Source organism: Homo sapiens, chromosome 8 (genome assembly GCF_000001405.40).
Source record: "Homo sapiens chromosome 8, GRCh38.p14 Primary Assembly".
In the NCBI taxonomy this organism is placed as follows: domain Eukaryota; kingdom Metazoa; phylum Chordata; class Mammalia; order Primates; family Hominidae; genus Homo; species Homo sapiens.
The window spans coordinates 91,305,363-91,329,501 of NC_000008.11; the positions used below are offsets into that span (position 1 = coordinate 91,305,363).

At 37.3% G+C, this 24,139-nt stretch overlaps 1 protein-coding gene across 4 annotated transcripts in view; it reads left to right on the forward strand.

The window, feature by feature from the left end:
• SLC26A7 (solute carrier family 26 member 7) overlaps positions 1-24,139 on the forward strand; it is a 188,660-nt gene that overhangs the window by 95,867 nt on the left and 68,654 nt on the right. For all 4 annotated transcript variants that reach the window (NM_001282356.2, NM_001282357.2, NM_052832.4 and 1 more), the window contains one exon: positions 12,854-13,018. In NM_001282356.2, the coding sequence (NP_001269285.1) occupies positions 12,854-13,018 (165 nt within the window). The remainder of the gene's footprint in view (positions 1-12,853; positions 13,019-24,139) is intronic.

Here is a 24,139-nt window from a genome sequence, read left to right on the forward strand (position 1 = left end):
TCCATCTAGCTCAAGTGTGCAGACCTAGTCAATAAAATCTCCCACCTTTTCTTATGAATACTCCCACATCTGATGAAAAACAAAAACACAACTACTCTACAACTCCTTACACTTGTGTATTTTAATAATATCATGCTTCCAATCATCCGACTGTATGACTATTGTTTTATTGAGCTCATATTTCTTAGACAAATATGAAACCAGAGGAGTCAAATTGTCTATCCCTAGCAGTTCTGACTTTCATAATGTCTAGCATCAGAGGCTAGTTTCTTCTTGAAGTGTCTGAGAACTGAAAAGATTATGGTTCTGCCTTCAACCATGTAATTCCAAATAAAGATGATTCTAAATTCCAGTGAATTTCTGATATATTACACAAAACTTAGATAGACATTTCCTGAACATATGATTAGTTTGTCTGTGGAGTAATGTGTACTTGGCTCATCTCTCTGCTCTCCATTCCTGCTCTGTCTAGTTTAGGTGACTTTTTCCTTTTTCCTTTACTATTCCTGTTATACCAACACTTTAAATGGCCATTCTATCATGAGATCAATCCTACCAAAGCACAGCTCTCATGTTTGAGCCAGTGTGCACCATAGTTCTTGGCAAGATCAGATGTTTAATGAATGTATGGAAAAGTGATGTCACTCACTCCTGTAAAACTCCCTTTTCACTACTTTTACAGTGGACTATATTCTGACCTCAAAATGTCTTGCTTTATTTTCTGTTACTCACTTTTGGCTAGTTTTGTTACTTCCAGACTTGCTGTGAACATATCCATGCTGTCCTGTTTGATCCTCATACTCTTCCCTCCTTTTTGAATGCTTTCTAATGGTTTTCCTCCTTAAGTGTCAAGTTAACAATTTTAACCCTATCCAGCAATACTCCCTTTTCCCTCTGAAATCCAGTGGCACATGTTCTATTTCTCTCTTTTGTATGCGTGGTTTATATTTTTGTCTTGGTGTGGTTATTTGCACACATGCCATACTTCTAAAACCCAGCTGTTTGGTGCTTTTCTTAGAGTCCTTCTTTTTCCCTGTGCTGATGTATGCAGGATTCGGGAACTCTTCATGAATAGCACACACTTTGGTGAGAAATTTAGACTTACCTGAAGATTCTGTGGAACAGGTGGAGAGGATTTTCTTTTCTTTTTTTCACTTTTAATAACTTTCACTTTAGGATGATTTTAGATTTGCAGAAAAGCACAAAAATAGTACCCAGAGTTGACATATAACCCACACAGTTTCCCCTGTTACTAACATCTTACATTAGGAAGGTATATTTGTCACAATTAATGAACCAGATTGATATTTTGTTATTAACTAAAGTCTATATGTTGTATCCAGATTTCCTTATTTTTTTTTTTTTGAGACAGAGTCTCACTCTGTTGCTCAGGCTGGAGTACAGTGATGCAATCATAACTCACAGTAACCTGGAACTCCAGGGCTCAAGTTATCCTTTCACCTCAGCCTCACAAGCAGCTAAGACTACAGGGACTTGCCACGCTAAAAATGGGAGAAAATTTTTGCAACCTACTCATCTGACAAAGGGCTAATATCCAGAATCTACAATGAACTCAAACAAATTTACAAGAAAAAAACAAACAACCCCATCAAAAAGTGGGCGAAGGACATGAACAGACACTTCTCAAAAGAAGACATTTATGCAGCCAAAAAACACATGAAAAAATGCTCATCATCACTGGCCATCAGAGAAATGCAAATCAAAACCACAATGAGATACCATCTCACACCAGTTAGAATGGCGATCATTAAAAAGTCAGGAAACAACAGGTGCTGGAGAGGATGTGGAGAAATAGGAACACTTTTACACTGTTGGTGGGACTGTAAACTAGTTCAACCATTGTGGAAGTCAGTGTGGCGATTCCTCAGGGATCTAGAACTGGAAATACCATTTGACCCAGCCATCCCATTACTGGGTATATACCCAAAGGACTATAAATCATGCTGCTATAAAGACACATGCACACGTATGTTTATTGTGGCATTATTCACAATAGCAAAGACTTGGAACCAACCCAAATGTCCAACAATGATAGATTGGATTAAGAAAATGTGGCACATATACACCATGGAATACTATGCAGCCATAAAAAATGATGAGTTCATGTCCTTTGTAGGGACATGGATGAAATTGGAAATCATCATTTTCAGTAAACTATCGCAAGAACAAAAAACCAAACACCGCATATTCTCACTCATAGGTGGGAATTGAACAATGAGATCACATGGACACAGGAAGGGGAACATCACACTCTGGGGACTGTTGTGGGGTGGGGGGAGGGGGGAGGGATAGCATTGGGAGATATACCTAATGCTAGATGACGAGTTAGTGGGTGCAGCGCACCAGCATGGCACATGTATACATATGTAACTAACCTGCACAATGTGCACATGTACCCTAAAACTTAAAGTATAATAATAAAAATAAATAAATAAAAAAAATAAATTTCTTAAAATAAAATAAAATAAAATGCTAGACCAATTTTTAAATTTTTTTGTAGAAATGGGGTCTCACTATGTTGCCTAGGCTGTTCTCAAACTTCTGGCCTCAAGCCATCCTTTCATCTTGGCCTTCCAAAGCACTGGGATTATAAGCATGAGCCACCATGCCTGGCTGTTAATTATTACCTAATGTCCTTTTTTTGTGTTCCAGGATCCCATCCAGGATACCACATTACATTTAGTTGTCCTGTCTTTCTTCAGTTTCCTTATTACTGAACATTGCTGAGACTTTTTAAATTTTTAATTATCTTGACACTTTTGAGGAGTACTGGTCAGGTAGTCTACAGAATGCCCCTCAATCGGGATATGTTTGATGTTTTTACCATGATTAGATTGGCGTTATATGTTTTTAGGAGGAAGAGGTGTGTGTGTGTGTGTGTGTGTGTGTGTGTGTGTCTACATATAATTGTGATAAAATACACATAACATAAAATTTACCATCTTAACCATTTTTCAGTGTGTAGTTCAGTAGCATTGAATACATTCATAATGCTGAGCAGCCATCACCGTCATCTGTCTATGCAACCCTTTCATCTTGTAAAACTGAAACTCTATACTCATTAAACAAGTGACAGTCTCACCACATCATAAACTATAACAACACTTATCATTGTTGATGTTAACTTGATCACCTGGCTGAGGTAGTACTTGTCAGTTACTCTATTTTCTCCCTTTCCATACTGTATTCTGTGGAAATAAGTCATTATGAATAGCCCACACTTAAGGAGTGGAGGTTATGTCAAGTGGGGAGTTAATGAGTGGATATTGTCTGCATAAATTACTGGAATTCTGAACATATTTGCCTATTCTCCCCTATTTATTTATTTAGTCAATCATTTATATTAGTATGGACTCTAGGATATTTGTTCTATTCTTTGGTTATAATCCAATACTACTTTATTTATTTTGCTCTTCAAATTGTCCTGGCTTTGGACATTGGGAGTTCTTTCAGTTGGCTCTGTGTCTGTCTTTGACACCCTTATTTGTTTATTTACTTGTTTAACACTTCCTTCCTTTCTGGCACTACAAGATAATCCAGGTTCATATTTTATATGCCCTGCTCAGTCCTAGAATCAGCCATTTCTCTAAGGATCTCTGGTTTGTTTTATTAGAGAAAGCTGTTAGACTTTAAGATTTAGATGGTAGGTATGCTTATTGCTACTGGGGTGTTATTGCTTGTAAGCCTTTTTATCTGACAGAGCAAGGGAATATTTTTATGTATGTTAAACATAATATAATTATGTTTAATTATACAGCAAATCTTATAAGGCAAATCTGTGCAGAATTCCAGTAATTTTGCCTCTTAATACACATGCTTGAGCCCACTGCCCAACTCTTGAGATCATAATAAAATATACGTTATGTATATTAATTATATTATGTATAATTTATATGTATGTAATCATATCTATATGTATTTATATATCCATCTATGCCTATATTAAGTTAAACATGAGCATATACTTAGGTCTTCAACCCTAATGCATTACCAGAATGATCATTCTAGCTTTCTGGCCTTGTTTGTCTGAAACCTCCCCCTCCAGCAGTGAGAACCTGGCTCCTAACACTCACCATCCATTTGTTTAAGTTAGCAATTCCAGTATATATAATATATAATAATATATTGCAATATAATACATATTGCAATTCCAGTATATTTGCCAGCAGTGGATCTGTGTGGGTACAGGTCTGCAGCAACCTCAATTCTTGCCTTCTCAGAAGAAATAATTCAACTAAGGTGCATAAGGCAGAAGGAGAGACCAAGGCAAGTATTAGAGCATGAACGAAAAGAAAATAAAGTACACTTGGGAGGGGGTCAAGAGGGCCAACTGAGAGACCAAGTGCACTATTTGACCTTTTGACTTGGGGTTTTATATGCTGGCATACTTCTGGAGTCTTGCGTTCCCTCTCCCCTGATTTTTCCCTTGAGGTGGGCTGTCTGCATGTACGGTGGCTTGCTAGCACTTGGTTAGGAGGGGAGCATGTATAGTGTGTTTACTGGAGTCATATGCATGCTAACTCGAGGTGTTTTTCCCTACCCACTCGAATGTCCCTGGGAGGTCATAAGCCAGTTAAACTCTGCCATTTTGCCTCTGAATATGCATGGTTGGGCCCACTTGCTCAACTCTTAAGATATTAGCGAGAAGCTGCTGATCACCAGTGTCAGGTGCTTCTATCTGTTGGGAGACTTCCTTTCCCTGGTTCTGGCTGGGACCAATTATTATTTTAGAGAAACAGTTTAATAACTGCCTGACCATCACTTGATGGTCGCCTGACATTCTAGGTTGGGGTGGAGGAGGGCCCTCTACTGCCCTGCTCATGTCTGACTAGCTACCTACTATAACATTTCCGCCAACAGGCGTCAAAGACCCCAATTTTTTTGGAGAAAATGGAGAAAAGTCCGGTGGTTCTGTGGGTCTTGGCCTTTAGCTAGCTGTCAAGGCAGGGTTGGCTCCATTGGTTGGTAAAAGTGGTATCCTGCCAAGTCCAAGGGGGACAGGGACAGGACTTTTCCTCTGTTGTGTCCCACTGATGGGCAGTTTATGGGTCCCCTGTAGAAGGGTGATTTGGCAGGATGGTATCCCTCACTGAGGATCTGGAGCTTGATGGCCTGAAAGCAAGAGGAGACAAATCAGGTTACTAGATTTAGAAGAATGTTAAAACGAAATAAGGGGGTGAGGACAGCTTCCCAATAAGATCTCAAGAGTTAAGCGAGTGGGCTCAAGAACGCGTATTAAGGGGCAAAATGGCAGAGTTTAACTGGTATATGACCTTCCAGGAAAATTCAACTGGGAAGGGAGGAATGCCTCAAGTGAGCATGCATATGACTCCAGTAAACACACCGCACATGCTCCCCTCCCAAGTGCTAGCAGGCCAGTGTGCATGCAGACAGCCCACTCCAAGGGAAGAATCACAGGAGAGGGAACACAAGACCCGGAAGCATGCCGACATATAAAACCCCAAGTCAAAGGTCAAACAGTGCACTTGGTCTCTCAAGCTGCCTGCTTGGCCCCTTCTAAGTGCACTTTACTTTTTTTTTTCCATTCCTGCTCTAAAGCTTTCTAATAAACTTTCAATCCTGCTGTAAAACTTGTCTCAGTCTCTCCTTCTGCCTTATGTCCCTCAGTTGAATTCTTTCTTCCGAGGAGGCAAGAGTTGAGGTTGCTGCAGAGCTATACCCATATGGATTTGTTGCAACAGTGGTTTCAGAATTATTAACCCCTACCCCCATGGGAAACAACTTCAGCAGTTAGAGTCTAGTGTTTCTTTTTGCCTTTAGTCTTCCAGACTCTAGTCATTTTCAAAATTATTTATGTTAGCACATTCTTTTGCCACCCACTTCAGTGAGGTTGTTGCATCCATTTAGCCTGTCTGAAAAGACTACATATTATATGATTCCATTTAAATAACCTTCTGTAAAAGGCAGAACTTATAAAGTCTATAGAGACAGTAAAGAGCACAATCATTGTCAATTAGATTCTTTATCATATTCTACATTCCATTCTGAGAACTCCTGACCTCCTAAATGATTAGTTAGATATATATTTATATATATATACACACACTCACACACACACATACATATATATAATGTGGAAAAATATACAAGCACACAATTTACCATCTTAGCCATTTTTAAGTATATAATTCAGCAGTATTAAATACATTTACAATGTTATGTAACCACCAACCACCTCCACCATTTGTAAACCAAGTAGTATCTGAGACAGTTCTCAATCAATTTAGAAGTTTATTTTGCCAAGGTTAAGGACATGCCCAGCGGAAACGAACATGGCATCACAAAAAAATGGTCTATGGTCTGTGCTTTTCTCCAGAGGATTCTGTGGGCTTCAATATTTAAAGGGGAAAAGCAGGCTAGGGGAGGAAGAGGGAGGATGTGGTAATCCACATGTAGCAGGGGAATAGGAGCAGGTAGGGGAATTATTAACTATGTATTCCTCTTGCTCTCAGTATATCAGCACTTTACATAAGATAAGGTAAAAATAGAGTGGCTACCTGTGGAGATATTTCACCTTCATCTGTAGGTATCTGCTTAGGAACAAAAGGAAAGGCAGTTTCTTGCATGACTCAGTTTTCAGCTTATTTCTTTTCCTTTTGGCTTATTGTATTGAGGTCCCAAATTTTTATTTTTCTTTCACACATATGTCTCCATAACTTTTTTCAACTTGTAAAACTGAAACTCTATACTCATTAGATAATAACTGCCGTTCCTCACTTCCTCTAGCCCTTGGAAACCATCATTCTACTTTATGTCTCTGTGATTTTGACTAAGTATTTCATGTCAGTGGAATCATACAGTATTTGCCATTTTGAGACTGGCTTATTTTATTTAGCATAATGTCCTCAAGGCTCATCCATGTTGTTACATTTTTGGAATTTCCTTCCTTTATAAGGTTCAATAATATTTTATTGTATTTATATACTACATTTTGTTTATCCATTCATCCACTGATGGACACTTGGTTATCCATTATAGTTACTCTGAATAATGCTGCTATAAATATCAGTGTAAACATATGTCTTTGAGATCTTGCTTTCAATGTTTATTTGCATGTATACCCCAAAATGGAATTGTTGGACCATATGGTAATTCTATTTTTAATATTTTGAGGAAACATCACACTGCTTTTTGTAGTGGCTATACCATTTTACATTCCCAGCAACAGAGCACAAGTGTTGCAATTCCTACATATGCTTGCCAAAACTTATTTTCTGTGTGTGTATGTAGGTGTGTCTGTGTGTGTGTGTGTGTGTGTGTGTGTGTGTGTTTGATAGTAGTCATCCTAACGGATGTGAGGTGCTCTCTCATTGTAGTTTTGATTTGCATTTTCTTAATGATAAGTGATGTTGAACATGTTTTCATGTGCTTATTGGACATTTGTACACCTTCTTTGGAGAGATGTCTATACACATCCTTTGCCCGTTTTTGAATCAGATATTTGTTTTTGTTGAGTTTTAGGAGTTCTCTATATATTCTGGATATTAACACTTATCAGATATATGATTTGCAAATGTTTTCTCCCATTTTGTGGGTTTCTGTTTTATTCTGTTGATAGAGTCTTTAGATGCACAGATTTTTAAAGTTTTCACGAAGCCCAATTTGTTTAGTTTTTGGTGCCCATGCTTTTCATGTCATATTAAAAATAGCACTGCCTAATCTGATGTTATGATGCTTTTGCTCCATGTTTTCTTCTAAGAGTTTTATAGTTTCAGGTCTCATATTTAGATCTTTGAACCATTTTGATTAATTTTTGTATATGGTGTTAGGTAAGGGTCCAACTTCATTCATTTGCTTGTGGATATACAATTTTCCCTGCACCATTTGTTGAAAAGACTGTCCTTTCCTTCATTGAATGGTCTTGTACACTTGTCAAAAATCATGTGACCATGTATGTATGGGTTCATTTCTGGGCTATTTTATCTATTGGTCTATATATCTTTTTATGCCAGTACCACACTGCTTTGATTACTATAGCTTTTTAATAAGTTTTGAAATCAGGAAGTATGAATCCTTCAGCTTTGTTCTTCTCAAGACCTCTGGTCACATAGAGGTTTTTTTCTCCCATATCTCTGAACAGCACTAAATTGTTTTCCTAATGTTATTAGCAATTTAACTCTTTCCCCCAAACCTGAATACATTACTCAGCATACAACACAGGGCTCTTTAACATTTCAGGCCCCACCCAAACAGCTTTTCAGACTTTACCATCCAGTCACCTATATCATTCTTCTTCATGGTCCTGGTTAACAGTCCCCTTTCCCAACATCATCATTTCACATCTCTTTACACGATCATTTAGGGTGTGAACTGTATCTTTAGCTGTGTAATCTGCAACAGTGCTGTGCCTAACTCTTAGTAGATATTCAATAAATATTAATTGAATGGAACAATAAGTGATTTGGTATAATGTAAAAGCCAGATAGCAGACTAACCAACATAACCTAAAATACATTCTATATTCTATCCGCTTGGCTAATATAATTGTTTCCTATGTACTCTTTGTTATTTTTAAATATTTGAAAGCTACTTGCAAGAAAAATGGACTGAAATCTGAGATACATTCAATTAATGTGGAACATATGGTGTTTATAGAAGCATTATCAAATAGTATCATGCTAGTGAATCTTGATCATGTATGTCAGAGGATTTCAGTATTAGCCCAGAACATCAGCATTACTACAAACAGCTGAACTATATTGTATGAAATTAATTTCCTCATGAAATATGGCATGGCCAGGATTTTGGGAGTTGGCTAGCTAGATTAGAAATGTTATCATCCGTATTATTGGTAAAAGGAGATGATGTGGCTGTTTATTAAGTAATTAGCTTTAAAAATCCTTGACATTGATATCAAATTTAAATACTGGGTCTCCAAGCACAATATTCCAGGAGAGCCCCATTTCACCTACTTCAGTTTGAAGATAAACATGGTTCAATCTGTGGGCCCCTCTTGCAAAGCCTGTGTTGCTTGTGTACTTGCTACCTTTGAGCTGTGTACACCAGCATCTGTATGCCAGATTCCTAATGTCAGTGTGAATTAGCTATTAAAATTTGAGTGGTGGGAAAGAGGGAGTTCTTAAATCTCTCCTCCCCATCCTCCACTAGTTCCCCTTCCTTTCCTACTTCTCTTCTTCCTCTTCCCTCTTAACATGTCTGCCATTGTCTTGGGTCTTGAAGAAGTTTGTCATTCAGAAGACAGAAATTTCTCCTCAGTTAAACCTCATATGTTTTTAATCATCCTTCATATGCCCAGTGGTTTGTATCAGAAATTAGGTCTTTAAGGAACTTGACCTTTCAGAGTCAAGAACTCTCCATGTTAAAGATTTATCTTTTGGTAGGAGGATTTTTTTAAAAGTATAATAATGTATACAAGTAGAATGTTACAATAATATTTTGAGTCTTTAGACATTTTAAGAGAGGATAATTCATCTTTTCTCATTTGTGTTGCAAGGTAGGTTCCCATGTTTTTTAATACTTGAAATGGTTGAATTCTTTTTATATCTTGAACTTCTTCTGGACTCTTTTGTTTGTAACTGTTAAATTGTGGAAATGACAAAGAAGCTGCTACTAGAAGATGGTGGTTTAGCTTGAAGTGGTATGGTAGGTGACACTTAAGGTTAGGTAACCTTTTTTTCCCAGGCAGGGCAAATCATTTAACCCTCTCAGTAGGCACTGGAATTTAGGAAACAAGTGGAAAACAGAAGGTAAAATGATGATGGTCTATACAAGGCCTCAAGATTACTTGGCATACTGATGCAAACTTTCCAACATTCCAAGTATGCATAAATTCCATGTATGCACACTGGTTTTGCCACTTCAAAGATTTGGATTACTTGTATTCTACATTTAGCTGAAATGAAAATTCAACTCTGGTTTTCATCATACCTCAGTAATATGCTAATTTCATCCTCATGGCCTGTAAGAGTTAATGTCATAAGTTGGAACTAACTTACTAATAGAGAAATACATGGGAATAATTGGTTCAATGTTTTTCATAGCTGATTGTGTTTTCAGGATGAAAACCAACTGACCACGAATCAAGAGCTGCCAAAAAAAAAAAAAAACACCATGTTCCACTTGTGCCCACACAATTGATTGCTTGGGTATTTCCCCCAGAACGTCTCTCTTTGACAAATACAGTCGCTAAAAAAATGTTAGTAGCAGAAGCTGCTGCTTTGGCGTCCTGAGTTTACTGTAACAGATTGCCTGATTTCCACATTGGCCCCCCATATTCTTTTCTTTATTATGTATTAAATAAAAGGTGGCTGCTAAACTGCAAACAATTTAAATACATTTCCTTCTTCATTACATTCTTTTAAGTTTTACAGAGTTAGAAAATGTAGTGTGGCCCTTCCTACATTTTCGAAACTGGTGACTGGTTTTCCATACTAGGTAAATATGTGTGACACCCCCTGTTGTTCCTGCTACATCATAGGTTAAACATTTTACAGGTTTCGAATACCTTGCATGTATTATTTCACACTCACCTTACACAACTCTACAAAATAAGGCAAATATCACTCTAATAATTTATAGATGATAATGAGGCTTGGAGAATTTCAGTAGGTTTTCTATCATCACAAACCTAGGATGTGGTAGAACCTGGGTCAGAATATAGGTTCAAATTTTCAGATTTGAGCCCATGAAAATCCACTGTAATTCAGGCTCAGAGCATTATTGCTTTTGGCCAAGGGGTTATTGTATTATGATCAGAATAAAGAAATAATATATTTTGCGATTTATGCTCTAGTGGTACCAGATATCACTTTATATTTCTCATTTTCATCACTGTGCCCTCTTGATAAAGGAGATCTCGTTGTTATCCTTCCCTCCGATTTCTTTAAGAGTTAATCTCATTTGCCAACAATAGTTTCTTATTTTTATTATTTTTTTGAGACAGGGTCTCACTCTGTTGCCCAGGCTGGCCTGCAGTAGCGTGACCACAGCTTACTGCAACCTCTGCCTCCTGGGCTCAGGCCATCCTTCCACCTCAGCCTTCTGAGTACCTGGGACTACAGGAACTCGCTGCCACACTCAACACTAATTTTTTTTTTTTTTTTTTTTTTTTTTTTTTTTTTTTTTTAGGAGACATGGTTTCACATGTTGCCCAGGCTTCTCTCAAATTTCTGGGCTCAAGTGATCCTCCTGCCTCGACCTCCCAAAGTGCTGGGATTACAGAAATGAGCCACTGTGCTGGGCTTGCCAACAAGAATTTTAAGACTTGGTGTAAATATTATAATGAACACATTAAGAAGTTATATCAGCATGACCTCTTTTGTTTCCATTTTCTAGTGCTTATACTTGTGAATGTAATTTAACATTACTTTCAAAATAGTAAATTTTACTTTTTGCAGTTTCTGTGACTGAGTTTACACAGATGCATTATGCCAAAGTGTGGGCCATCTTCTCAAAGCTCTCTGGTAAAGGAAGAACATTAGTCATTGAAGTATCAGGAGTTAGAAGAGGCCAGGTATGGTGGCTCTCATCTGTAATCTCAGCACTTTGGGAGACCAGAGCAGGAGGATTGTTTGAGCCCAAGATTTTGAAACTAGCTTGGGCAACACAGTGAGACCCTGTCTCTAAAAAAAAAAAAAAAAAAAAAAAAAAAAAAAAAGCCAGGCATTTGTCTGTAGTCACAGCTATTCAGGAGGCTAAAATGGGAGGATCACTTGAGCCTGGGGGGTGGAGGTTGCAGTGAGACATGGTCATGGCACTGTACTCCAGCCTGGGAGACAGAGTGAGACCTTATCTAAAAAAAAAGAAAAAGGAAAAAAGAGAAGAGTTTTGCTGCTTCCTGTCATTCCTGTCACCTTTTGCCCAGCAGAGTTCAATGCACAGCTTCTACATAGAGATGATGATTCTGCCTGGTCATGAAATGGTTTTGAGATGGAGGATGTTGCTATGAAAAGTAAGGAATGTTGAAGGACAATGATTTTTGTACTGATTTGTGGGCTTCTCAACACATATGTCTCTACCCTATCTGTCTTTTGCGGTGCCACATATACAAATAAGTCCTAATGTATTCTTATTAAATATTAGCCCTTAATAATTATGCCTAGTGTTCCACTATTGGAATGCTAAGCTTGTGGGAATTATTTATATCCTACTGCTCAAGGTCATCGCCAAGGTATGATTTTTCACAAAATAAATTTACAACCTCTGGCATAAATGGGTTACTTCTTGACCAAGTATCTGGTCAAAGAGTATGTTCCCATTTCTCAGAATCTGGGAGAATCTTGAGGAATGGCTTTCTTTCTTCAACGGTTTTGAGGTTTTATGCCTACTGGGTATAAAGTAGTGAATCATGTCTTTTCCTTTTTAAAATTTTAAATTACAGATATAGCAAGGCAAATTCAATTTTTCTTCCACATAGACCCATACATTAAACTGATTTGAGTGTATTTCCCTTTTTTGAAACATGTAGGATTAGGAAAAGAGAAAAGTCTAAATTTAGAAAAAATACTGTGTTAATTTTAACTGAGATACTCACATTGTACCTAATAACGTTTTCTAGAACTTAAACTATAATAAGATATATATATATATATATAAAATAAAAATAAAAATAAACAAAAAAAATAAAATAAAATTAAATTAAAAAAAAAAGAAACCTTTGAAACCTCTTAGAACCTAACAATGTGCTCAGGGAAACCCAAGATATTGTATATATACAATGTAACAAACTTGTTACATGTCAGTTCTCTATGATTCTATCAAATGAAAATGAGAATGTGTCAAATATTAAGCCCTCTGGGAACTTTGGGGAGTTTCATCTGAAGTTCATCTCACTTCTCCCTTCTCCTCTTAGGTGGCCATGTTTGTGCTGCAACTGGGCAGTGCCACATTTGTGGTCACAGAGCCTGTGATCAGCGCAATGACAACTGGGGCTGCCACCCATGTGGTGACTTCACAAGTCAAATATCTCTTGGGAATGAAAATGCCATATATATCCGGACCACTTGGATTCTTTTATGTGAGTTTTTCGTATGCTTTCATACATATCTTTTGAATGTGCAGGTTTCACAAAGTAGAATTTGATTAATTATAGTACTGAGATTTTTCTGTATTAAAGCAACTTGGGTTTAAATAAAATCTTATAGGATATTTTGAGTGTGACTTAAGGTATGCAACTAATTTAGTGAGTAATTTCTACTAATTTTGGAAATGATTCCTTGTAATGAACAATGGAATATGAGCTAATTTGGGGGCATAATTAGAAAAAAAAAACCTGAATTTTTTGTGAGCCAGGTATTGTTGCCAGCTTCTAATGGAAGTCATCCACTGGGATTATGGCCAAGTTTAACAATAGTGCACTCCCCCACATTCTTTCAGTATTACAAATCCTGGGGTGGATTAAATCAGAGGCCTGGTTGAAATTGGTGGCTGAAGCCTCAGTAGCAGACAATCAGCTATTAAAAACCACCTGAACCCAAGAAAGAGAGTAGCACCTGGCCATTTGCAACATATTTTTCTAACAACACTTTTTTGTTCTTGGGTTTGTTTTCGAAGTGGACCTAAAATCTATAACCGCTCAAGAACTCAGATCCTATTAGAGGTTTATTTTTTAAAAAGCCTTGTTAATGAATTTGCTGACAACCAAACTTTGTTTTGTTTAACTTTATGCATTGCTGTATACTAAATAACATTAATTTTTTGTTTCATAATGAGAGTATTGCCATTCTTAATTTTCTTAAATATTAATGGCTCGAAGTAACTCAATGAATGGAGTATGGTAATTTATCTATCTGTTATTGAGGTGGTTTCTGTCATTTCTGTATTATACATGGCCCCGTGAGGATCCTCTTTATTTGCATATTATTCTCTGCACCAAACAAACATTGATTGTTTCAGTAGGATAAGTTCCTATGATAGAATTATTAGATCAAAGGGGTATAAATTTCAATCTGAAAAGATGTATCCATTAATATTTTACTCTGACCTTATCACTGTCAACTCTGGTTATGGCTATTTTTTAAGTGACCATTTGATATGTGAAAAAAATGGTATCACTTGTCTAAGTGTGTTTCTCTGATTAGTTGGTAAAGAAGTTAATAAAAAGCAATTAGCAACACAGAGCTGGAAGCTGGATCTGAATTCGTATTTCTTAGATAATTTCCTGCTCAATGATTCATTCATTGTAAGAATGATTAACACTGAAACAAGAACACTGGAACTGGGCCTGGAAGCAACATAATTCCAAGCTCCAGCTCAAACAAAAGCAGACCAAAGTAGCTGTAAGCTGTCAGGTGACTGGTTGAAAGTTTAAGACTTTCAGTGACAGCAGGTCTACACGACAGAACCAAAGCAGTGATAGTTTCTGTCTTGACCTCTCACCTGGAAATGGCCTGGCCTGCTTGTCGGCACATGTGCAGTTTAAGGAAATGACTGTCCATTACCACTTGGCCTCTTGAATCATATCTGCATACACAAACGATCATCTTTCTTTTTTCTAGTTGTGTTAAAGAAGCAGGGTAGCCTGCTGTGAGAATGACATTGGTCTTTCAGCTTGTTTCTCTGGTGGGAATGTGTATAAACTTCTATTAAACACTTCGGTTAAAGGTTTTGTGTGTGATTTTGTTTTTCATTTTGTATTTTTGAGGGAAACTGCAAGCTACTTTACCCTAGTCTTGTAGATCAACACTGTGGGACTTTTTGGAGGTGTTTCTTTTTTTTCTTGGGACGAGTCTCACTTGTCACCAGGCTGGAGTACAGTGGCATGATCTTGGCTCACTGCAACCTCCGCCTCCTGGGTTCAAGCAATTCTCCTGCCTCAGCCCCCTGAGTAGCTGGGACTACCAGTGCGTGCCACTGTGCCCAGCTAATTTTTGTATTTTTAGTAGAGACGGGGTTTCACCATATTGGCCAGGTGGAGGTCTTTCTTAAAAACTTTACGGTGAAACGGAATCAGATTTGGGAATGTTTTTGGACTGCTGGCTTTAAATTCACATTACTCAGTTGATGGAAATTGCTATGCTTTGTGTTGATGGAAAATGGAAAAAAAGAGTTGCTCTTGCTTTTCAATTATCACAGAGTCCTGTACTGTGAGGCTGTTAGGTGGGAATGGTGCTTTGGTTCTTTGCCATGGTTTCAAATGGATGTTGATATTGCAATGCCAAAAATTCTGGTGATCTGAGTGTTAGATTAAGAAATAAATCTTACATCATGCACAGGTTGCAGTGGGATATTGGGAAGTGTGCTTTGGGGTACTTAGGCTGAGAGAATCTCATGATGGCTACACTTGCCACTGGATCATTTAAGTGTTACATAAAGAAGCAGAGCTGAACTCAGCAAGGATGTAGAGCAGAAGACATCATACAGGCCTTGGCTAGCATGTCAAAGAACCTACAGCAGAATGAATTGACACATTTGTAAGACTTTTCACTCTTTGACATGTATCCTGCCTCTGAGTTTTCACAATTGTTATATCCTTTCAGAAAGTAATTCAGGCTGATGAGAGATAAAGCCCATGTTACTGATATTCTTGGAACATAAATTGGATATCTAGAATATTTAAGACTCTTGCACAATGAGCCAGTCATGATTCCTAATAGTCCCAGGTGGGCTACTCATTTTTGTCAAAAGAGTCCAGTTTTAGCCAATCAAAATGTCCATTGATTAATTAATTATTCTTAGGTTGAGTTCTGTAGACTGGGGTCTATTTATTCTGCCACTGTGTGGTTTCTACAGTGCCTTCCTCACAGGGGATGTCTGATTCTGTGCTATTCAGAGAATCTCATTCCCTAGTTGAGTTGGATGAGTATGAACAGCTAATATTTCCATCTCTTTGGTTGCTCTGGGGTGGCAGGTGTTCTTGCCACAATGAAATATTTTTAGGGAGCAATTTGAATCAGATACATGTAGGGGTTTGTGCTCAGTTCTGCCCTCTTAGATGATAGATAACAGACTTCTCATAGGCTTGAGGGATAGACATGGCATAATGCCTTCCCCTTTTCTACTTCTGGCATGAGGAAAACACGCCCCGACTCCAGCGAAGCTCAGGTGGTTGGGCCGCTCTTTCTCTTCTAGCTGAAAGTTGTTAAAGAGTTTCCTCAGGGGAGGAGTTCTTCCCGAGTGTGAAACATTACTAAGGCTTTCCCCTAGAACTTTGAATGCCCTTCGAGAATTTCTAGGGTCCACATATTCAAAGGGAGCCTCCAGAATAACTGTCATGACCCTACTATATCCCTAAGAAGAGTGGGTATAATTAGGCCTAACTTATCCTTTTATTTAGCCTTCCTAAATTCCTTCACAGATAACTCTTTACTTTTTAAATTTGTTCTTAAGAGTTTTATCTCTAGATTCATATACTTCTGATTAAACTATCTTTCTTTTAGTATTATGGCTAGTTCTTTGTAAACTTTAAAGATTACATCAATGTGTTCTTTTTCAGGTATATATTGGGAAAAAATTATTATTTTTTCTCTGAGGTAACTTTTAGCTCTTGTTAGTTACCATAACTTGAGCTAATGACCGAGTGTCTTTGATTTCCAGTTGTCTTGTCTGTTTTGTGCACTGATGATAATTATACTTCTTGGAATTCATTTCCAAAATGAAAAGCATGGAACATAGGTGTTCATTAAGTGGAAGCCATTGTCTTTCTTACTAGTAGTGAATAGTTCAATGTAAAAAATTATGCATTTTTTAAGTGTCATTTAAGTAATAGATACTAATGCTTTTCCTCTATAGAGGACTCTTAATCAGATTTTAAAAAAGACTAAATAACAAAACAAACTTATGTGTATTTTAATGACTTTAGAATGGCTTGAAAATTTATAAAACCTTTAGAAACAAATATATCTTCTGTTAATGGGGGTTGATCATTAAAATTAAAAAAGCTATGTTTTTTAGTTTATTTTTATTTATAAAGGTTTTCAACAGTTCAACTCAAATCTCCCTCAGCAGTTATAAACCCATTTAATAAATTATAAACAGTGTTGCAATATATTTTAAAATAAGAAGAAACAATAATGTTATAAGGGTCACTTGTGTCTTGGGATCCTGGCTCAGAAGTTAAATTGTTCTATTCTTGGCTTCCTTTAAATTCAAATATTTGACCAGTAAGTTGGTTCCTCACACAGATAAGAAGAAAAAGTTTAATTCTTATTTACAAAAAAAATTTTTAAATTGAGGAATGATGAAGTATCTTTTTATCAGAAAGGATGTTTTCCCCCAAAAGGCACAATAAAAATTACAAAAATTCCTAGTTCGTATTAGCACATGTGGGTTTCTTTGAGATGGTGCCAGTGTCTCAGCCTGCAGCAGCCTATGATAAATTTGGCAAGGATACTTTCATTGGCATGGCTTTATATGAGCACTGCTCTAAATAATTATGTACAGTTATATATATTAAACCCAAGAGCAAAAGGCGAGCTTGGCAATATATTCAGCCATCCTTCTTGGAAGTTTTTATTTTCTGCCCTAAAAATGGGTAGTTTCAGAACTGGAAAGCAGTTTAATTCTCACCCCCCACCCCTGAAGTACAAGCAAAGTACTTTTCTAGTTTGGACTGCAAAGACTGCAAAGGGGAACCAAGAATGTTAATAAAATGGGATAGAAATGTCAGAAGGAAGTCAGAACCAATGAAACATTTTCTTTTATAGGGAATGAGATCACAATTAAATATGTATAAGTGGGGTTTATACGTGGAGAACAAATCTACTTTGTAGACCTAGGCTCTGTGGGATTTCTGAATCAAGAACATGCTTTGATGGTTTATGAAAGCTCACAGTTTCTCTGCAGATATTGTGACATCTCTATTGTGAATTGTGGGAATGTTCAGTATACCCTGAAAAATGGACAGAATAAATTAAAGGGGAGAGAAAAAGAATGTTCATCTGTAACTTGATTCAATCAGTGATGCAGGGGATAGAAGATGTGGCAGGTTTAATTTGGATATGAAACAACTATATGTAAATTTGTAGCCAATGTTACTTTAGGATTCTAAATCAGAGAGCAAATATTTTTGCAACTCAACCATCGTAGGCCAAACTCTCTCCATCCCTCACAATTCACTGAAAAATGCATCAACACAAAATCCAGTGCTCAAGTAATTCAAATTAAACTAATTTACCAAACAAGAGATGGCTGGATGCCACCTGGACCTTGGAATGCTTGGTTGTATGTTTGGTCCAAGTGACTTTTGTATACTCATGATGTCTTTAGCTATTTAACATACCATACTTCCCTTAGACCACATTTGTTCTGAGACTTATTTTATCCCTTGAAGTAATAGCAAATGGATTTATTCCAACTGTATCATATAGTTATTGATTAGAAATTGGGGTATAATGATGTAAAAAACTACCAGAATGTTGGTTTTCCCTCTTTCTTTTGGGATTTTGTTTGTACTGATAAAAATACAGCCTGTGGTTAATATCCAACTTAATCTTTCCCTTTCTCTTTTTTCTTATCTTTTTTTTTTTTTTTTTTGAGACATAGTCTCACTCTGCCACTGAGGCTGGAGTGCAGTGGTGCCATCTCGGCTCACTGCAACCTCCACCTCCCGGGTTCAATGGTTCAAGCAATTCTCGTGCCTCAGCCTCTGGAGTAGTTTGGATTGCAGATGTGCATAACCACGCCTGGGTAATTTTTGTATTTTTAGTAGAGCTGGTGTCTTGCCTTATCAGCCAGGCTGGTCTTGAACTCCTGTCGTCATGTGATCTGCCCACCTTGGCCTCCCAAAGTGCTGGGATTACAGGCATGAGCCACTGCACTCAGCTTATATTTTTCTTGTTTTTGTATTTATGTTCACTACTGTAGAGGGAGGTGGGATTTGAGGGGCTTGATCTTATCAATACATATTCTAAAATGTTTAATGATGTATAATGATATAGGCAAAGTTGACAAGAGACATCAAATTCTTATGAATAGAGAGAACTTGTGCTAACATCAGGTTCTAAAGGATCAGAGTTGGCTTTAGGTGTCCCTGAGCAGGAATTTAGATCTGCTTGGAGGTAGGATTCAAATGCAATGAGCTTGAAAGCAAGTTGGGGTGGGGAGAGGGCATGCCTGGGCAATCATGACTCATGTTTAAAGGTTCCAAGGATGTGAAAGCTGCCTTAATTGTCCAACAGAATAATCAGAATAATCTGGGGGGATTTTACAAGCTACACATGAGTAGGAAGAGATAAACATGCATCCTTGATTAAAGAACCACTAGAACAGATTTACTCAACAAATTGACCACCTCACAGGCATTGAGGATACAGTTGAACAATAACATTTTTGTTCCCGTGGAATTTTATTGAAACACTGAGGAGGGACGCAAAGTATGGAGAGAGGAGACAAACAAATTGGCAAATGAAGTAATCTCAGATAGTGTTAATGAAGGAAACAAGGCGGTGTGATTGAAGGTGGGTAACGTGGTCAAGTGACAGGGGTGGGTCTGCTTAGATAAGATGGCCTGGGAAACCTTTTCTGAGGACATGGCTTTTGAATGGAGGCTAGAAAGATGAGAGAGACCCAGCCATAGAATGATTTCAGTTAAGAGTATTCTATGAAGAAAGAGCAGCAAATGCTAATTCCCTAAGGTAGATATAAGGTTGGCATGTTGGAAAGACAGAATGGGTTTGCTTCTAAGATTCTTTCCAGTGGAATTTCAGAAATTTTGTGATTCTATTTCATTAACTCCTGAGGTTTGGCTACAAGACCAGACCCTACTCTTGTTTTATATGTGTAGCTGGCAGAATATAGGTTTAATAGTGAGACAAGACCAAGAACTACATGCCAGCTCCATTGTTCAATTTCTGTGTGGTCTTAAGCAATTTAGCTAACCTCTCCAAGTCTTATTTTCCTCATGTGTTAAATGGAAATAATAATGCTCACCTTGAATTAATTAAGACATTAAATGAATCACTGTGTATAAGATGGCCAGCATAGAGCCTGAAAGTGTTAATTCCCCTACTCTTCTAGGAAGTGACTAAGTTTAAACAGTTTCCCCATTCTTTCTTCCTGAGTACCCCCTGCACCACCCCCATCTGCCTATGATAGGGAAAATATGAAAATTCCTCTCCCTTCAGGAACGGAGGGTGAAGGCACTGTATAGATACAGGTAGGCTTTCACCAAATATGCTTATGTTAAGAAAAGGCCATAATCTGTGTATTAACAGCTTTCAGAATCAAGTTGAAAGGCGTATTGCTTCCCTTGTACTAATGTGACTCTGCTGCTGATGTTGAAGGCATAAGACTGGAGGGTGAGAAGAGCTCGTATGCCTGAGAAGCAGCCAGGTGCCATTGAATACCACCACTAAAACCCCAAATCTAAGACTTCATGCTCTGTAATAGTCTCCTCTTCAAAGAGGTAGCATCTTCCCTCCATAACCCAAGGGAAAAGGAAGCAGCAGGGAGATTTGGAAAAATTCTTTGCTGGACTGAAAAAATCATGAGATAGTCATTGGTAAAATGTGCACGTGTTTGTCTAGGGTTGAGGGGACCTGTGTCAAAATCCTGATTTTCTCATTCACAAGCCAAGTCACCTGGGGCAGGACACAAGTCTCTGGAGCCTTGGTTTCTATTTCTACAGAATAAGTGTGTGGAACTGGTTGATTTCTGAGGTTTTTTTCTGATGCTGACAAGTGTCTTCTGAACATTTCCTTTGATAGGCATTTTAGTTGTAATCCTCACTGCAGATATCAACTATGCCTGATTGATCTTTGGTAGATGGTCATTCAGTTGGCCATCTCTCTTAATGGTACTGATCACTTGGTAATTATTATTGAAAATGTTCTGTTTTGTTTCTTTTTGTGTTTTAGAATACTTCTATCTCAGCTAACATGAAAAGAGGGGAATTTGCTAGGGTCTATCTGTGATTCTAAGAACAAAAGCTTGGAATCCCCTCTGCCCTCTCTATTAGCTTCCTAGGGCTGCCACAATAAACTATCACAGACGAGGTGGCTTAAACAACATAAATTTAATTTCTCCCAGTTCTGGAGGCTGGAGATTCACAATCCATGTGCTGACAGGACTGGTTTCTTTTGAGGCCTCCCCGCTTGGCTTGCAAACGGCCTCCCTCTTGCTGCTTCCTCACATGGTGGAACCCCTGTGCATGCACAGCCCCTGTGTCTCTGTGTCCTGATTCTTAGGAGGACGCCAATCATATTGGATTAGGGCCCACCCTAATGGCTTCCTTTTAACTTAATTACTTCTTTAGAGACCCTGTTTCCAAATACAGTCACATTCTGAAGTACTGGGGGTTAGGATTTGAACATATGAATATTGAAGGAACACAAGTCAGCCCATAATACTTTCTTTGAGTTGTCTCAGAAGTGAGCAGCATTAGATTTGGTGCTGGCGTCTTAATGGCTACTGTAACTTGTTACCACAAATCTGGTGGTTTAACAAAACAAATTTATTCCCACATTTCTGGAAGACACTTCAAAATCAAGGTCTCTTCTGGTCCATGCTCCCTCTGCAGGTTCTAGGGGAGAAACCATCCTTGCCTTTTCAGCTTCTTCTGGCTCCTGGCATTCCTTGGCTTGTGGCTGCATCACGCCAACTTCTGCCTCTGTCTTCACATGGCCTTCCCTGCTGTTTGTTCTTCTCTCCTGTCTCTTACAAGGATACTGATCATGGGATTTAGGGCCCACCCAGGTAATTTTAGGTGATCTCATCTTGTGGTCGATCCTTTACTTAATTACATCTGCAAAGACCTTATTTTTCCATATAAGGTGACAGTCACAGGCACTGGAGTTTAGAATGTAGACTTTTTTTTGGTGGGGAGGGGAGATAGGGGACTACAATTCACTCACTGCAGTAACCCAACCATGTATGGTGAGGAGGTTTTATGTTTTTGCTTGTTTTTTGTTTGTTTGTTGGTTTTAAAATTAGAATGTGACTGAAGTTATCCATGTGATGCAATCAGTAAATATAATTAATATAATTTCAAAGCTATTTCAGGGCCGTGACTACCACTGAGCGCTCTGTGTTGTGAGATGAGGCTTCTGATAGAAGTACCATCTAAATGAATAGATTATTAATAAATTTTATTCAACATAGGACTTTACAGTAGATACAATGAGTAAAATAGTTTATTCGGTGGTGCTACTGTTGTCTTATTTTAATATATACTCTTTGAGACATAGAAAACAGTCCATATTTTTAGACACCTATCTATATGCTGATTATGCCAAATGCACTTTCAAACCAAAGTTTGCACATGTGGTAGCTGGCATATATGGATGTTACCATTGTTTCTGGAGATAGTTATGGTTTTGTGGTTGATGACTGACTCAAAATAATTTATTGGGAATTAAGAATTGTAGATTGCAGATTAGTAGTTTATACCTACTATTAAAATAGTGTGCTGATAGATTTATTACAGTGTGCTAATTTTACTAATGCTCTGTTGTTTCTCTAGTCAAACACTAACTTATTTATCACAGATCTTTAGAGCCAAGATAGTGCAGGAATGATAAAAAATGCTACTAAAGGGTTATGTGTTGTTTTTAGTGTAGAAATATTTATTCAAATAATCTTTGTGGTCCCTTTATGGATAATTCAAAGATGTATTCATCATTACTAGTGAAGAATTATTATCAATAATATCATTATGCTCTAAAAATGTTTAAATCATTTTTTCTCATGTATATTTTATTACAACAAAACCTAAACCAACCAGAATGCAGAGGAAAGTAATGTTTTGATTAATAGAATTTTCTGGTTAATAAAGTATTGAGCAGAAAGTTTATTTAATTTTTAATACTTGTTAATATTTTCTAAACATATAAGATCTTTCTATTTGTGTTATGAAATTTAAGAGTGGATAAACTTTGGATTTTTCTTCCTGCATAGGTATTTCTTTACAGTGCCTTTTTTAGAAATTCACGGCAGTTGTGCAATGAGAATTCAATAGCTATGGTCCCAGAGAGATCTTTATTTATCTTTTCTTCACTAAATACTAAACTTTTTCAGCCTTGATGTTGCTTCATTTTTATAAAATTAAAATTTGACTATATCAAAGATGGATTACTTAAAATTACTGCAATGGTAGCTTTAATATTTGGCTCAATGCCTTGCACATAATATAACCTCAATAAACAAGTTGAATAAATGAAACTTGATAACTGCAAATCCCCCTAATATGATATAGTCCAAGTATTGGTAGTGAGAAGAGTCTGGATCCTTTCTCTTCTTGCTATTCTACTTATTCAAGGTAAAATCTATGCCTACTTACAGACTTATTGTTACTATTACTATGCTAGACCCAAGTATTCATTCATTCAACAAAATTTATTGAGTATCTACTTTTTTCCCAGACACCATTCTAGAAGTTGAGAATCTATCAGTGAAAATAAAAGCTTATAAAGAAAGGCAAATTAGACAAAAACACATTATATAAATATATTGTATATGTGTGTGTATGTGTGTGTGTAAATGTCTGTGAAGTACTTTAGAAAAAAGCCTCACATCTAAAGAAAATAATGAGAAGCAGTACATGTGCTGTGGATAGGTGATTTACCTCAAGATGGATTGTTTATGCATATTGATATTTTTCATTTTATATCATTATAATAAATGGTAAATTTAAACAACCAATATTACAGTCTCAAAATGAGCTGAACTCTCAATATATAATGAACTAATATTACAGTTTTATTAAACTGACTAGGCAGTTCTGGTTAGATAGCTTACTTATTTATCCATACAGATATAAATATTATCTTTGCTTCTCTGAGATCTGGGGAGAAAATGCTGATCCTCAATAGGAATTTTTATCTACTGGAGCTTAGTGCATGATAGTGTATTCAGATGACTGGATTTATACCAGAAATTAGAAATTTAATATGTGCTTAGGATGCCTGGAACTCTATTAAATAAGCATATGTAAATATGTGTGTGTGCATGTGTGCATGTCTATCCTTAGCCCCATTCCTGTCTCTTTTTCCATATGCCACCCATGTATCATGAGCCTGTTTTAGCCTGTGATTCTCTCTGTGGGTCCACATGACAGTCATTAGAATGACATTCCTCACCAGCCTCCTTTCCTATTCTGTTCTTCATGCTGGTTGTAATGAGCTATCCACCCCCTTGTTCTTCTGGAGCATCTTGTGAGATGTGCTTTGCTTAATGAGCTATAGTTTAATCCAGACAGACAATA